This window comes from Homo sapiens, chromosome 7 (genome assembly GCF_000001405.40).
Source record: "Homo sapiens chromosome 7, GRCh38.p14 Primary Assembly".
NCBI classification, from domain to species: domain Eukaryota; kingdom Metazoa; phylum Chordata; class Mammalia; order Primates; family Hominidae; genus Homo; species Homo sapiens.
In genome coordinates, this window is record NC_000007.14 from 36,341,733 (window position 1) to 36,359,546 (window position 17,814).

Genomic DNA, 17,814 nt, shown 5'->3' on the forward strand with positions numbered 1-17,814 from the left:
TAAAAGTGGCCCCAAAGAGCTAGCTAGCCCCTTCCACCATGTGAGGACACACAGCCTTCTAAGGTGCCTTCCATCAACTAGCAAGAGGGTTCTCATCAGACACCAGATTTGATGGTGCCTTGATTTTGGACTTCCCAGGCACCAGAACCATGAGAAATAAATTCTGTCATTCATAAGCTACTCAGTTTATGGTATTTTGTTATAGCAGGCCAAATGCATTTTTTTGGACTAAGACATGCATTTCCTGGAAAATGGTCTAGAATTTACCTTAGATTCCTTAAAACACTAACTTTCAACTTTTGTTTTTAGCAGAACCTTTTTTCAGACAAAATCTCACAGAACTCCACCTTAAACTTTAATTGTCTGTTAGAAAATATTTCAGTGTTTGTGGAAGCACTAAAACACACAATGTTTTGGTGGAGTATAGTTTGTAAAACACTACATAGGTCTTTTTTTTTTTTTTCTGAGATGGAGTCTCATCCTGTTGTCCAGGCGGGAGTGCAATGGCTTGATCTCAGCTCACTGCAACGTCTGCCTCCTGGGTTCAAGCGATTCTCCTGCCTCAGCCTCCCAAGTAGCTGGGATTACAGGCACCTGCCACCATGCCCAGCTAATTTTTGTATTTTTAATAGAGATGGGGTTTCACCATGTTGGTCAGGCTGGTCTTAACACTCTTTCATCTTTGTTCTCATAGTCATACTAAAATATTGCAGAACACCACCACATGAACGTTTAGCAGGTCCCTAAGCTCAGGAGCCTGGACCAGGAAGCTTGAGAAATCAACTCTCAGGAAGTCAAGACTCTGAAGACTCCAGTAGAGACATGACTCCTTATGCCTGTCTTCAGACCAGTCTTAAGCCTGGATCTGGTGCTTCTTAATCACAGATGAGTAATTTTTTTGTTTGTTTTGGAAACAGAGTCTCCCTCTGTTGCCCAGGCTGGAGTGCAGTGGTGCGATCTTGGCTCACTGCAACTTCCACCTCCCAGGTTCAAGCGATTCTCCTGCCTCAGCCTCCTGAGTAGCTGAGACTGCAGGCGCATGCTGCCACGCCCATCTAATTTTTTTGTATTTTAGTAGAGACAGAGTTTAACTGTGTTGCCCAGGCTGTTCTTGAACTCCTGAGCTCAGGCAATCCGCCTGCCTCCATCTCCCAAAGTGTTAGAATTATAGGCGTGAGCCACTGCGCCCAGCCACAGATGAGTAATTTTTACAAAGATACATGAGCTCTGTGAAGAACTGTGATGTTCCAAGGAAATAGGAAGCATTACCCTGAAAACTTAAATGAAGAACATACCTCTGAAAGAATATTAGGTTAAACCAGATGACACTGCCATCTTTGTAGGTCAAAATGATTAAATATGAATAATTTAAAATGGTCCAACCTAATACATTCTGCAGGAAACCAATAAAAATTTAGAAAGTAAAAGCTTCATCTTACAAATTAATAAAACCAATAATAATCTTCAAAAATTTTCTTAGAAGCCAGGCATGATAGCTCAAGCCTCCCAGCACTCTAGGAAGCCAAGGTAGGAGGACCACTTGAGGCCAGGAGTTTGAGTTCAAGACCAGCCTGGTCAATATAATGAGACCCTGTAGGAGAGGAGAGGAGAGGGGAGCAGAGGGGAAGGGAGGAGAGAGGAGGGGAGGGGAAGGGAGGAGAGAGAAGGGGAGGGGAAGGGTGGGGGGAGAGGAGGGGAGATGGGAGGGGAGAGGAGAGGGGAGGGGAGAGGGGAGGGGAGAGGGGAGGGGAGAGGGGACGGGAGATGGGAGGGGAGGGGAGATGGGAGGGGAGAGGGGAGGGGAGGGGAGAGGAGGGGAGGGAAGGGAAGGGAGAGGGAGAGGGAGAGGGAGAGGGGAGGTGGAAAGGAAGGAAAGAAGGAGAGAAGGAAGGAAAAGAAAAGAAAAAGAAAAAGAAAAGAGAAGGAAGGAAAGAAAGTAAAGGAAGGAAGGAAAGAAGGAAGGAAGGAAGAAAGAAAAGGAAAGAAAATAAAATGTTTAAAGAAGTATAAAAAATTATCTTAGGAAAAGAGAAAAAAGGTCAAAATGAGAGGGAAGGTGAGACATGTGAAATGCATATGGCTAATATGAAGTCTGTTAATTATAAAAACGAATAAAAGAAAACTAAAATAAATGGTTCAGAGAAATACTCAAAATTAAGGCAACTTTTCTTAGCAATAAAAAGACCTGAGTAAAACTGATCAGATGGCCACTTCAGATCACTGGTTGCCTGGAGACACGGTTCAGGGAAAGAGAGTGACAGCAATATATACCTAAAATGAGTAAATTTTATTGTCTGTAAATAAATAAAACTATTTTCTTAAAAAATGCCATTATTTCTAGGTAAGTTAATAAGAAGAGAAGCACTCTGAGACACATCAGGATGTCTAGAATAACCTGCACTGAAAAAGAAACACTCTCCTCTGAACATCTCACTAACTAGCCTCATTCCCACAGGCTGTAGGCAAAAAGCTCCCTAGAGTAAATGACTAACAAAACTGTTTCTCTGAAATAAAAAAGTCCAATAAGGAACAATCTAAATATTCAAGTTAATTACTATACACCTATTATATGAAAAATATGCAGGCACTGAAACTGATGCTGACATAAAAAATGTTGATGGTTTTTAATGATATGAGAAAATGTTTATGATAAGTAAGTGAAAGTACATTGACCACAATTATGATCATTAAGCATGGGAAAAGAAAAATACTCTCAAAGGTCAATAGTGGTTACCTGTGGGTGGTAGAATTATGGGATTCTTATTCTCCACACTTTTCTAAGTTTTTATACTGAATATAAACTACTTTTCTAACTGGAAAAACAAATGGTTAAGTGCCTTCTACTTTGGAATCTCCTGGCCTTTCTATTCACTATCTAATTACCTTTTCCCATTTGCCAGGTAGGCATTGATATCCCTTCTCTGGAGTATTTGCATTTAACAAAGAAATACATGAAATTGTTTTTAAATCTTAAAAATTCAACTAATATTTTTCTATAATAGATTTTTAGGTAGGGATGATTGTTAGCAGGAAAACAGTTGGTATATTTTGCATTCTTGAGGTTAACTCATGGAACAGAGAGCCACTTCCCTAAAAATCCAGCCCAGATTTGCCCACAGATATCAAATATATTCTTTGCTTCCTTCCAACTCTAAGAATAGCGACATAAGTAGAAAGCAATGTAACATTACAAATTTTCATAAATCAGTTTTAAAATTCCTAGAACCAGAACATCTTAATGTACACACACCTATCCCTATTGTCCAGGTCTCAGCCTCCTAGTCCGCATGAATCTGACTTTGGACCTTCCCTTTGTGTACATCTTAAAATGTACTTGGCCAACTCCTCCATTACCTTGTTAGAAAATAGTATAACGGAATCTACTCTTGAGTTCCACAAGACACACTGTCAGGTAGGATAACACTTCTTGCTAAAACTGATGTGAAACAAGCAACCAAATACATTTTTGCCTTTTTAAAAACATTGAACAAAAAAACCCATATTTTTACTAAATTGTTATTATCTCTATTCACAAATCAATCATTTCTGAATCTTTCCCACTTTATAGAATGAGAATATATTTTTAAATTTTTAAAAGATTTTTCTTCACCAGAAGCATACAGTTGAAGAAGAGAATATTTTAAATAAACCTTTGCATATCTTATAGGCATCAAAACAAATTGATTTTCAGAGACCTGGAATCTAGAGCAAAGAGGAAATAAAAGCAAAATGAGTAATTGTTCTCTCCTCACCTGAATGTCACTTACAATGCCACACAAAATAGAATAGCACCATTATTCATATTACAGATCTGTCATCTCAGGATCCTGAAGCACTTTTATTCTCCTCTATTAAAATTAGAACAGTATGTAATCAAATTATTTTCAAACAGTGGGGCTGGGACAATTGGATATCCACATTTAAAAGAATGGAGTTGGACCTCTATCCCATATCATATATAAAAATTAACTCAAAATGGATCCAAGACCTTAACCTCTTAAGAGCTAAAGCAATAAAACTCTTAGAAGCAAGCATAGGCATACATCTTCATGACCCTGGATTAGGCAATGGGATCTTAGATATGACACCAAAAGCACAAACAACAAAAAGATAAGATGGACTTCATCAAAATTGTGCTTCTAAGGATACTATCATAAAAATAAAAAGTGACCCAAAGAATGGGAGAAAGTGTTTGCAAATTTCATATCTGATATCTAAAATATATAAAGAACTCCTGCAACTCAAGAACAAATAACTCAACTGAAAAATTGGCAAAGGATCTGAAATAGGCAATTTTCCAAAGAGGATATACAAAATGGCCATTATTAACCATCAGGGAATTGCAAATCAAAAGCACAATGAGATACCACTTCACTCCCACTGGGATGTCTATAGGAAAAAAAAAGGGCTGATGAGAACGTGGAGAAACTGGAACGCTCACATGCTGCTCATGGGAAACTAAAATGGTATAATCACTTTGAAAAACAGTCTGGCAGTTCCTTAAAAGGTTAAACATAGAGAAATTATATGTACTAACAAGTCCACTACTAGATGTGGACCCAAGATAACTGAAAACATTTGTCCATAAAAAATGTGTACACAAATGTTCATACAGCATTATTAACAGCCAAAAAGTAGAAATAACCCAAATGTCTATCAAATTATAAAAAAAATAGAATGTAGTATATTCATACATGGAATATTATTCAGCAATAAAAAATGCTGATGCATGCTAGAACACAGCATGGATAAACTTTGAAAACATTATAATAAGTGACAGAAGCCAGTCACAAAGGACCACAAGGTATTGTATGATTCCATTCATATCGAAAGTCCAGAACAGGCAAATCCAGAAAGTCAGAAAATAGACTGGTGGTTGCCTAGGGCTGGAAGGTTGGTGAGATGGGGAACGATTGCTAATGGGTACAGTGTTTCTTTTTGAGGTGACGAAATGTTCTAGAATTAGTGGTTATAGTTGCACAACTCTAAATACATTAAAAACCACTGAACTGTACTCTAGTTTTATTTATTTTATTTTACTTTTTTGAGACAGAGTGTCGCTCTGTTGCCCGGGCTGGAGTGCAGTGGCACGATCTTGGCTTACTGCAACCTCCGCCTCCCGGGTTCAAGCGATTCTCCTGCCTCAGCCTCCTGAGTAGCTAGGATTATAGGTGCCCGCCACCACACTAGGCTAATTTTTATATTTTTAGTAGAGACAGGGTTTCACCATGTTGGTCAGGCTGGTCTCAAACTCCTGACCTCATGATCCACCCACCTTGGCCCCCCAAAGTGCTGGCATTACAGGCCTGAGCCACCGTGTCCGGTCTATTTTATTGCTTATGATTTTTTTTAGTTTAGTTTTACATTGCAGGAGAACTGCATACTTTAGTATGACATGTGAATTGTATCTTAATAAAGCTATTTTTTTAAAGGGAAGAGTAATCGAATAGCATAATTTAACATTGAAATCACTAATCTAGAAAAAAAAGTTTTCTATATAAAACTTTCAACACTTAGATAATAAAGTTTCTGAAAAATCTCAGTATTTTGTTTAATGACAAACTTTTGGTTTACTTGCTGATTTTGTTTAATGTTTAGCAATCTGGAAACCTGACCATCAATCATGTGCTAAAAAACTATCTCCCTTCTCAACTGCAGTTTTCACTTAATGAAAAACTACATACAATGAGGACACCAGTATGATAGGGGGTAGGATAATGCTGTGGAAACACTAGAAGTCAGAAGACCTGGTTTTACATTGGGGCCCCACCATTTGCTGACTGTGTGCTCTTAGGTTTGTCGTTGTACCTTTCTCAGGTTTAGGTTCTTCACTGGCAAAAGGGAGATTAAAATCTCTGCCCTATTTACCCCACAGAGTTGTGAAGACAAAATGAAAGCATGGAGGGGCTGTGAATGTGCTTATTTCCCATATGACTGTAGAAAGTACTTAAGTTTTAACAGAAGATCACTGGGTTTTAATTTCAGAATTTAAGGTAATTGGTTTGCCCTCCAACTTTTTACTCAAGGTTATGTTTTTCCTGCCTTACTAGTTAATATACCACTCCAACTCTCCCTTCATTCCTCTCCTTTTCAGAAAATTCTAGAATCTAAAACTTCCCCCCCAAACAGAATAATCCCTAGGATCTCAAGACAGTCCTTTTCTTTAAGCCAGTGTTTTCCAGACTTTCTTGAGGGAAAGCAGTCAACAAGATACTGTTTTTTAAAGGTTTCAAGGCCAAATTATAGTTTGGAAAATATTAAACAAAAGACTCCTCTAAGCTTTTATTATGATACTATGTGTGGTGAATGTTGGAGATGAATATAATATTCTATGTCTTCCAACACGTATGGCTCCTTTGCTTAGGTGGTGCGCCTCAGAACAGTCCGAAAATGGTTACTTCAGATAAGCATGGGATATATATACATACATATACATATTCTGGCTCTTTAAGCTTCTCAGAATGAAAAGCAAGATACTAAATGAGTTTTTCAATGCTGGTCATTGCTTCCTGGTAGCAAATTAGGTACATAAAGATTTGTGATTACTCAATCAGATCATTAGGCCTCCATTTAAGGTATTGTAGCCACAAACTAATGGGACAGTGGTAGTCACACACTAAAATCCCTTCAGCTGTAAGCACCAATCACTGTGTAAAGCTACTGATTATAAGACATCTGGAAGAGGCAAAAGAAGAGCATATTTACATTCCAATGCTTTATAAAACACTGTGCTGGCCAAACAAAACATATATGCAGGCTGAACTTGACCCCTGGGTCACAAATTTGGATCCACTGTTACAAAGTATTTCACTACATTTTTAACATACCAGCAAAAAGGACCATTCATTTATCTAGCTATTCCTCACCTTCTATGTGACAATCACTGTCACTTTTATGCAGTTTTATATTTTAGAATCTAAGTCCCTGTTCTACCATTAGACTGGCAGAGATGACATATAAACAGATCCAATGTAGTAATACTTTGATGGAATTATAAATAAAGTATTGTGAGATCATTGAAAAAAGGGAAATAGAAGTAGGGGATTAGAGGAAATAGAGGACATTCCATGCAAAAGGGGCTAATATCATCATAAGCATATAGAAACTAAAGAAAGTGAAATAGAGCTTGATTTGACAAGACTGCAGGGTTCCTGGGATGGACAGGCACTGGGAAACTTGTTTATTCAGTGCCAGGAACTGCGCTCAATTCTGGGAATAGCTGAAATAAGAAAAACAAAGAAAAACACACTTCTCTCAAGGAGGTTGGTCTGTGGATAAAGACAAACAAGAAACTGAAGGATGGTAACAGTGGATAAATGCTGTGACCGATATTTACGTGGGATGCTGTGGGAGAATACAGTTGACCTTGGTATAAGGCCTTGCAGGCCATGACAAAGATTTTGAACTTTATCCTAAATTATGAGGAGCCCTGAAGTTTTTTTTGAAGAGGTGAGATGATCAAATTTGCATCGTAGGAAGACACTGACAGCAGTGTGGAGAGCAGGGGAGAGACAGAAAGGAGCAAAAGTACTTTTGCCAACAATCCAGTTTTCTGTAACGTGAACTGCAGACTAGGACCAGATTGCAATAAAAAGAAACAGACCAAAATATTTCAAAATATTATAGAATTGTAATAAAAAGAAACAAACCAAAATATTTCAAAATATTATATTCTACCTATGCAGAACCTAGAAAATAAATACATCTCAGACACTGACTGTGCCTTCAATGAATGACACAGCCAGGCAAAGAATTAAGTTGTCACCTGTAACTTATCTGACCCTCCTTGCCTCCACACACCCACCCCACACCTTATACCCCTCTTGTATTCTCGGCTGAATTTCTGTGTTATCAGGGCTGGGAGTATTCTGGATGTATAAAAGGGTGAGTGGGAAAATAAGAGGGTAACTGCTATGAGGATAAGATATTTATAAATGCCTAAATACCGCAGACTATTCTTTCACCACCTACAAGGGGAAAAGCAGATATTCAACCTGTTTTGTTGAAAAGACTTTGTTAAGGTAAGAACCTGAGAATGTACATGTTAATCAAGTTTTCAAAGGCAAATCAACAAAGCCTTTCAATGAGTCATCAAGTTCATATCTTCTTCCAAGGACATATAATCTGATGGGGGAGTTTCCATCTCTGATCTGTGAAAAAATCTTTCTTGCTATTTAGGTTAAGAAATAACCCCAGTTCTCCGATCTAATACACAAGGCTACTATGGAACATACTAAACTCAAAATTCTAAAAACCTTATAACTTCAGTGTATCTGTGAAAGGTTTGTGATTTGCTAAACAGAATATCATGTCACCTAGGAAAAGGTATAATTTAAAGAAGGCTTACTTTTTCCTCCCCTTCATTGTTTTGACAACCTGAGGTCTACAAAGATAAAATAATATTTCAATACTAGTACAATTATAACTTAGCTTTAAAGAAATTTTACGTCAAGACATCCTATTAGTGAAGGCAATTTATTTCCAATTAAATTTTTTTCTATCAAAAGAGAAAAATGAACATTTGACCTGTTTTAAAGCACAATAATGTAATATTATATATGTACCTATTATGTGTTTTAATATAACAATGAATTGCCTATTCCATTCACACTATAAACGCTAAAATCAAAAGACTGTTTTCAGAGGATCACATTTAAGTCTTTGCCATACTAATCATTGATTCTAATAAAATGGAGCCTATGTGAAATAGAGCTGGTGAATCAGAGGTAGCAAAATGGCAATCCAAGGGGAAAATGTGGCCCACAGAGAGGTCTTCATTGGCCTGGACGGACTGTGTTCCTTTTTTTTTTTTTTTTTTTTGAGACAGAGTCTCATTCCGTCACCCAGGCTGTAGTGCAATGGCATGATCTTGGCTCACCGCAACCTCCACTTCCCAGGTTCAAGCAATTCTCTCAATCCTCATCTCAGCCTCCGAAGTAGCTGGGATTACAGGCATGCGCCACCATGCCCAGATAATTTTTGTATTTTTCGTAGAGACAGGGTTTCACTAGGCTGGCCAGGCTGGTCTTATAGACATGAGCCACCATGCCCAGCCTCAGCCTGTGTTTTAACTGACTTGGGTATCAATGTTTACAAACTGGAAGACTTCATATAAAATTCAGGTTTCTACCTTCCCTTGAAAATCTCACAGATACTGGTTCCAAACTGTGGCTCAAACAAAATAACTGCTGATTTCCAATTTACTACTATACTCAGCCAGTTTCATTTATGATTTTTGCCCAGATCCTACAGGCATCTGAGTTTGTGAACCTATATACCATGACTATATAGTTTACTAACCAAGGAAGATGAAAATCAGAATTTACTTCCTAACATAATGAAGTTGGTCCACATAGGTACTTACTTTCAAAATTTGAACTCTGGCTGGGTGTGGTAGCTCACGCCTGTAATCCCAGCATTTGGGAGGCCAAGGTGGGTGGATCACCTGAGGTCAGGAGTTCAAGACCAGCCTGGCAAACATGGTGAAACCCTGTCTTTACTAAAAGTACAAAAATTAGCTGGGCATGGTAGCCCGTGCCTATAGTCCCAGCTACTCGGGAGGCTGAGGCAGGAGAATTGCTTGAACCTGGGAGATGGAGATTGCAGTGAGCCGAGACTGCATAATTGCACTCCAGCCTGGGTGACAGAGCAAGACTCTGGCTCATAAATAAATAAATAAATAAAATATGAAGTCTATAAATGCAAATGCACTGCTATGCCATAGAGTGTTGTGTGCTGTGTTGCTCTGGTGTAGGGAAAAAGGGGCTGTCAGAATCACAGTCCTTTCCTTTTCTCTATTTTGGCAGAATGACCGCCAAATAAGAATGAAACCTCTATTTTAAATATATCTGAGGTTTCCAATAACTCTACTAAGTTACTCTTGACAGCACAGAACTATTAACTTCCATTAAGGTAGTAAAAAAAAAATTTAGGGCCAGGTGTCGTGGCTCATGCCTGTAATCCCATCACTTTGGGAGGCCGAGGCAGGTGGACTGCATGAGCTCAGGAGTTTGGAACCAGCCTGGGCAACATGGCAAAATCCTGTTTGTACAAAAAATACAAAAATTAGCCAGGCATGGTGGCACATGCCTATAGTTCAGCTACTTGCGGGGCTGAGGTGGGAGGATTGCTTGCACCCAGGAGGTCAAGGCTGCAGTGAGCCATGTTTGCACCACTGTACTCCAGCCTGGGTGACAAAGGGAGATTGTTAAAAAAAAAAAAAAAAAAAAAAATTTAAGATACAATAACACAAGGAAAATAAGTTTTTCCACTCAAATAGACATCTATCGATATCAAATGTACCCTAACTCTTAAATTATATGGTTGTGATGAAAATGCCTTTTTTGAGAAACATCAAACCCTTTCTTAAAATTAAACTTTTCACTGGGCGCACTGGCTCATGCCTATAATCCCAGCACTTTGGGAGGCCGAGGTGGGTGGATTACCTGAGGTCAGGAGTTCAACACCAGCCTGGCCAACATGGCGAAACCCTGTCTCTACTAAAAATACAAAAAAATAGCCGGGCATGGCAGCGCACGCCTGTAATCCCAGCTACTTGGGAGGACGAGGCAGGAGAATCGCTTGAACCCAGGCAGCGGAGGTTGCAGTAAGCTGAAATTGCACCACTGTACTCCAGCCTGGGTGACAGAGTGAGACTCCATCTTAAAAAAAAAAAAAAAAAAAAAAAGAACCTTTCTTGCAGCTTTCTTTTTCAACTCTTACTGCAACTATACTGTTTCACTCATGGATATGTCTTTTTATAATAAATCAAGATATATCACTCTTAATGTTTTATTATTAGAAAGACAGTATGGGCCGGGCACGGTGGCTCATGCCTGTAATCCCAGCACTTTGGGAGGTCGAGGTGGGTGGATCACTTGAGGTCAGGAGTTCGAGACCAGCCTGGCCAACAGATGAGGTGAAATGTCGTCTTTACTAAAAATACAAAAATTAGCCAGGCATCATGGCGGGTGCCCATAATCCCAGCTACTCAGGAGGCTGAGGAAGGAGAATTGGTTGAACCTGGGAGGCTGAGGCTGCAGTGAGTGGAGATTGCCACTCTAGCCTGGGCAACAGAGTGAGACTCCCATCTCAAAAAAAAAAAAAAAAGTATTATGTTTGTAGTTAGTAAATTACGACTTTGTTCTCATCAGAACCTCTGCTTGCTCTGAGACATATGGTGTTCTGGCTTTTCCTGATTGCTGTTTTTCTTCCCAGAAGGTGCCTTGTCTATGCTTTCCCCTCAAGATGCTACAGGTCAGGCCCGGCGCAGTGGCCCATACCTGTAATCTTAGCACTTTGGGAGGCCAAAGCCAGAGGATCACTTGAGCTCAGGAGACCAGCCAAGACAGCATAGTGAGACCCCCCCACCTATCCAAAAAGTTTTAAAAAACTAGCCTGGTGTGCTGGTGCACGCCTGTAAGTCCCAGCTACTGGGGCTGGGGGCTAAAGTGGGAGGATCGCTTGTGCCCAGCAGTTCAAGGCTGCAGTGAGCTATGATCACACCCCAGCTCTCCAGCCTGGGCGACAGAGCAAGACCCTGTCTCAAAAAAAGATGCTACAGGTCTTTTGGTGACAGGGCTAATTTTACAGGTGAGCAATTGTTAATATGTAATCTTCTGAGAGTAAGCTGTTCATGAAAACAGCTGTTTTTTGTTGGCAAAGCTTTAGTACTAACTTTCTGTTTTTCACCTTGGGGGAGAATAGAGGGGTTGCCAGAATCATGGGAAGATACTCCCTGTTTATGCTCTTTTTTTTTTTTTTTTTGAGACAGTGTCTCACTCTATGGCCCAGGCTGGAGTGCAGTGGTGCGATCTCAGCTCACTGTAACCTCCACCTCCCAGGTTCAAGCGATTCTCCTGCCTTAGCCTCCCAAGTAGCTGGGACTACAGGCGCCCACCACCACGCCCAGCTAATTTTTGTATTTTTAGTAGAGACGGGGTTTCACCATGTTGGTCAGGCTAGTCTCGAACTTCTGACCTCAAGTGATCCGCCTGCCTCGGACTCCCAAAGTGCTGGGATTACAGGTGTGAGCCACCATACCCAGCCTCCTTGTTTATTCTTAAAGTATCCATTTTACTTGAAGATAGGCAATTTACATTTTTCTTTATTAGAATAAAGATACAATATGAAGTATGATGCAAAACTCACATGAACTTAAGATAATATGCAGATTTTATCTGAAGTATTTACTGCTCAAGAGCACCACTAAGAATCTACTTCTGACCCACTGGTGAGGATGCACCTGACCCCAAGTAGCTTTCTGCAGGCTCTAATTCCAGATCCCTTCCTTAGCACCTATGAAGCACTGTACTCTTTCCTGCAAAGGTCCAAAGCCACAGAAAACAGACATCTTGAGTTTCTGTCAAGTTTAAACGTCTCTAAGAGTCAGGAAGCTGAGGCTACCATGGCTGCCAGCATGCAGCAAGCCAGGGCTCAGCAGGCTACACCTAGAGTTATATTCCAGTCCTGCAGCCTGCTGTATGTCCTGTATCACCTCAGTGGTCTGAGTGCCTCCCTAGGGACATACTGCCTAGACCAAAAAACCTGAGGCCTGGAACTCCTTGACAATGATGGGGAGAACAGAGCATGAGCACTGCCTCGGTTCCACTGTGGCAGACTTATCTGTGCGCGAAAGTCTAGCATCATTCTGCTAATCTGTGCACTTAAGAGGACCACAATCATCCTCCAAAACAATACAGATTGCCTGTTTACCAAGATTCAGATTGTGAAACTCAAGAGACTGTCAGCTGTGGATTGGCAAGGCCTCAAAGGTAGAAGCCAGAGACCATGGGGCTAGTTGGCCATCCTGGCCCCTTTGGGTATCATGTTTCTGAGTCCTGGAGACCAGCCTTGAAGCTGCTGCTTTATCTAAGGAGGAGATGGATGTATGATATCATGTCATTATTCACTCGGTAGCTGAAGAAGAATTTAAGTATATTTTCCCAGAGGTCTTGTACCATGTATTTCTTTGATTAAAGTGGTTTAAACAGTATACTTGGCATTTATTGAGAATATTCTCCCAAATGGTGGCATTTGCAGTACAAGTCAGCTAAGATTGCTAGTGCTACTTAGAAGTCTCAAGCAATTCAAGTGTAGGATTAATCTCCTAAAGCTGGAATTGGATCAAAATTAAAATTGCAAAGCCACAGGCTAAGCAATGTCAACTCTCAAACTGTGGGGCTGCTGAGGCTCCCAAATTGCCTTCCAGAGAAATCAAAGAGCATTCTTTTTCATCTAATGGTTGGAAATCTCTTTCCCAACAGGTAGGGGTGGGGTAGGTCTCCAAATTAAGGAATACTGGTAAATAAATCTCAGCCATCTCTTTCAGCATCAGGGGGAAAATGCAAATAGGATTTTTATCATTGTAAAATTTATATTTGTGAAAGCCTTGTTCAATCGACTACAATTTCCACACACACAAAAAACCACATGTAAGAATGGCTGCCAAATAGAAATAAAAATAACAGCTAACCTCTTTATTAGTGCTTTGTAGGTGCCAAGCACGATGATAACTGCAATATATGCACTAAGCATTCTCTCATTTAATTATCAAAATAATCTCCTAAAGTAGGTATTTTCTTTACTCCATTTTACAATGTGGAAGTAGTACAGCCTAAGAGTGGATTATGTAATCACTATGTTAATGCTGCCTTCTCCCATCCAGAAGTGCCACTTTATATTAGTAAGTTATCAATTTGAATCACAATTTTTAGCACAATCTCAGCACATTTTTTAAAAAGCAAATACCCATTAAAGAATACAGAAGCAGAAGCAAAGAGACCCTAACAAAGGAAAGTAAATACCATGATTAAAATTATTTTAATCTTTACATAATGGCTTTACATAATTAAGTTTTACATAATGGCTTCAAAAGACTGGCCAGATTCCATGTTATCTATAATAAACAGCAAAATATCTGCTGGCCGCAAGACCAAATAACTATTATCAGCAAAAATGCTAAAATAGGACATGCACCACAGGCGAGAGAACCATGCAGTTTTACCTATCCTACAAACAGATTTTCAGTCACTGACAATGCCAAGTTGAAGCTAATATATTATAAAAACCTGAACAAAGTTAATTTGACCAAATATTGTCGGCCTTTATGATCTCAAAACTATGCCCTGCAGATAAACATTAGCTAATTTCTTCTCAAATGCTTAAATGAGGTTCTGAAATGTATTATAGCCCTGTAAAACACAAAACTGCTAAGGGCTTAAAGTGAGCAATTTAAAAGTATTATTCATAACGTTCACATCATAATTTGCTAAACTTGAAGATAATTTTGAAAATCCCATTATTTTTATCTTTGAATAAGTGCTTAAATATTTATTTGATGATGATTAACAATTTCAGTGAAGCATTAACAAGTTCATGGACAAGAATCAAGCTTCGGTTCCCAAACTACTTACCGGAGCCTAAGCAAGCCAGGAATTTAACACAATAGGAAGAACCAGGGATTGCATGCTCCATCTAAGACATTAAAAAATCAATTAGAGGCCAGGCATGGTGGCTCACACCTGCAACCTCAACACTTTGGGAGGCCAAGGCGGGCAAATCACTGGAGATCAGGAGTTCAAGACCAGCCTGGCCAAAATGGTGAAACCCCATCTTCACTAAAATTACAAAAATTAGCTGGGTATGGTGGCGGGTGCCTGTAGTCCCAGCTACTCGGGAGGCTGAGACACAAGAATCACTTGAACCCAGAAGGCAGAGGTTGCAGTGAGCCAAGATCGTGCCACTACACTCCAACCTGGGCAAAGAGCAAGAATCTGTCTCAGAAAAAAACAAAAAACAACAAAGAAATCAATTAGAAAACAAAAACGTAGTGTGGGCTACCCAACACTTGTCTGTAGGCGGCTAAATTGGCCACAAGTTTGTAACTCCCACATGAAAGCTTAGAACCAGAATCTGAAGCTGTCTTCCTAATATAATTGCTTCCTGTCACAAAGAGCCTATATAACAGATTATAAATTTTGATGAATGCAATGGAGTTTATATACAGGTAATACTCGTCTTGTCGCACATTTACATGTCCTGAGTGGGAATTAACCATAACATAGAAATAATTTGAATATTTTTAAATGTCTTTGTTTTTGCTTATAAGATCACAGATAATTGTTTTAGTACATAAAAATGAACTACCACTATTGAAATGGCATTTTACCTGCTTAAGAAATCGGTCAGATGCGTGGCTATGCTTAGCTAATACGCTTGGCAGAGCAGGATTGGCATACTCAAACTGAGGATTGTAGGTATAGTCAGATTTGAAGAATCTCAGTTTTTCTTTCTCTAAGTTGGTGGGTTTTATAGCAGTCAATATACAAAATTTCTTCCCAGAAAAGTCATCTCCCTTTTCAAAGCTTCTAGACAGCTGAGGCTTTGGCTTTGGAAGAGTGGAGAAATGGCACCACTTGACCTTGCTTTTGGGTTTAGGTGGCAGTACTATGCCATTCCCTGTAACAGAGATATCATGTGTAAACTTTACAGGACTTGACACTGAACTAGTGACAAAAACAGCAGGCCGCCTCTCCAGGCAGTACCAAGTACCACTGCTTGTCACAGGCACCAGGGCTTTCATCCTGCGAGGATCTTTGCTACGAGAAGTGTTAGGAGATTTGCTGGGTTTTCTACATCTTTTGGAGTAGGTGGAGGAAGACTGTTTTTGTGAATGATACTTTTTTTCCTCCTTGCTCTGTAGTAGGACATTGTAACTACTGGTTCCAGTTGTGAAAATGTCTTTTAGCACTCCCGAGGACAAATGTGAAATGCTTCTTTTGTTGTCAATGATCAATGAATCTTCTGCATTTAGAATAGACTTCTTAGCAAGTTCTTGCTCAGGCCAGTGAAGCTTTTCTGTGTTAATAAACAAAATCAAAACAAAAGAAATAACAAAGATACCAGATGAAGCAAACTGTTTATTAGGAAAGGTATTCTGAAGATTCTATAAACTTCGTAATTTTGCAGTAATCATTAGAAAAAAACATTTTAAATATTAAAAGGATATATTACTAAACTTTGGTCACGCTAGCTACTGTCATTTCTCTTCTCTATGAGTATATATAAGTTAAATTATCTAAAAAATCCTCAGCTTCAAACCACTTAGATGATCAAAGTCTAATATGTGAGATAATATACATAAATAATCTGAATACTTGATTCTACAAAAGAATGTAGATTTTGGCTGGGCGCAGTGGCTCACACCTGTAATCCCAGCATTTTGGGAGGTCGAGGCAGGCAGATCACTTGAGCAGGAGCTGGAGACCAGCCTGGCCAACATGGTGAAACCCTGTCTCTACCAAAAAATACAAAAATTAGCCAGGTATAGTGGTGCGCCCCTGTAATCCCAGCTACTCAGGAGGCTGAGGCATGAGAATTGCCTGAATCCGGGAGGCAGAGGTTGCTGTGAGCTGAGATCGCACCACTGCACTCCAGCCTGGGTGACAGAGTGAGACCCTATCTTAAAAAAAAAAAAGAATGTGGATTTCATAGAAATGATATATTTTAAAATAGTATTTTCTATAATAAAGTAAAATCCAAGGCACTTTCAAAGACAATACAATCTTGAAATTTGGAAATATATATAAAGGTAGCTATCAGTAAAAGGACAACAAAGCCTTATTTACTCAAAAACCATTGTTAAGATTAAACAGATGGCATCTTCAAGCATGTTTTAGTAATGTCGCTTAGTATGAATAACTGGTTGATTTTCTTCATAATTCTAAGCTGTACGTTAAGGTTAAAGAAAAACAAGGGTTTTTTCTTGGCAAGTTAGAAAAACAAATTTTAATAACTATTACAAAGGTATTAATATATCAAATGGCAAGTGAAGGAGAGGGCAGCTTTGTTTTTAGAACTCACAAGTGCTTTAAACAGATAAGAATCACTGGATATACTGTTGTGCATTCACTACTTTAAAACTGTGTTGATCTGCATTCTTTCATTCAACAAATACGTAGAATGCTACTAATTCAGCACATGGCTCTGATAAACAACTGTATAAACACATTGTTCTTACCTATAACCAGCTTCTAATCTGGCTCTGAAGACAAGGCATTCCTATGAAGATTTCAACAATAATACAATGTAGTATATAATTAAACATGAAAAACAAAAGACACAAACAATAACCTACAGTTCAGATGAGGAAGGAAGCAATATGAAGAGAAACAGATGAGATTTCAAGTAGGCCCTTAAGGGTTTTCAGATTCAATTCTAAACTGATGAAGAGTTTGTCTTAAATACATCTCATCTGAACAAGACTCCAGCTCAACTCCTGTCAATAAGTGTTCACTGAATAAACAAATGAATAAATAAATGACCCTAAACATGCAATTCTGCAACCATTCTGAATAAATATGTACTTGTAGTTCTGGGACCATTCAAATATGAGATAACTGCAGACCTGAAAATATAACAGGAAAGACCCTAAACCAGTAGTTCTTAACAGAAGGCAATTTTACCCTCCAGGGAACATTTGGCAATGTCTAGAGACATTTTGGTTGTCACAACTGGGGAGAGGGTATTGACATCTAGCAGGTAAAGGCCAGGGATGCTGCTAAACATCCTTCACTGCATAGGACAATCTCCCACAACAAAGAAAGATTCATTCCAAAATGTCAACAGTATCAAGGTAGAGAAACTCTTATCTAAATGTTAGTTTTTAAAACCCAGGAGTCACAGAGTCTAGGGTAAAGAGACAGTACTAAAGTAGATAATAATCCAAATATGTAAGGTATTTAAAAGTCCTTTTACTTACATTTTCTAGGCCAGCATGTGAAATCTGAATTTTGGTGTCTAAAAGATAACATA

General features: G+C 39.1%; 1 protein-coding gene across 10 annotated transcripts in view; it reads right to left on the bottom strand.

The window, feature by feature from the left end:
- Window positions 1-17,814, bottom strand: part of MATCAP2 (microtubule associated tyrosine carboxypeptidase 2) — a 66,206-nt gene that overhangs the window by 17,581 nt on the left and 30,811 nt on the right. For 8 of the 10 annotated variants that reach the window (NM_001100425.2, XM_024446701.2, XM_024446702.2 and 5 more), the window contains one exon: window positions 15,170-15,858. The exons of the other annotated variants lie outside the window; for them this stretch is intronic. In NM_001100425.2, coding sequence (NP_001093895.1) covers window positions 15,170-15,858 — 689 coding nt within the window. The remainder of the gene's footprint in view (window positions 1-15,169; window positions 15,859-17,814) is intronic. 10 annotated transcript variants of the gene reach the window in all.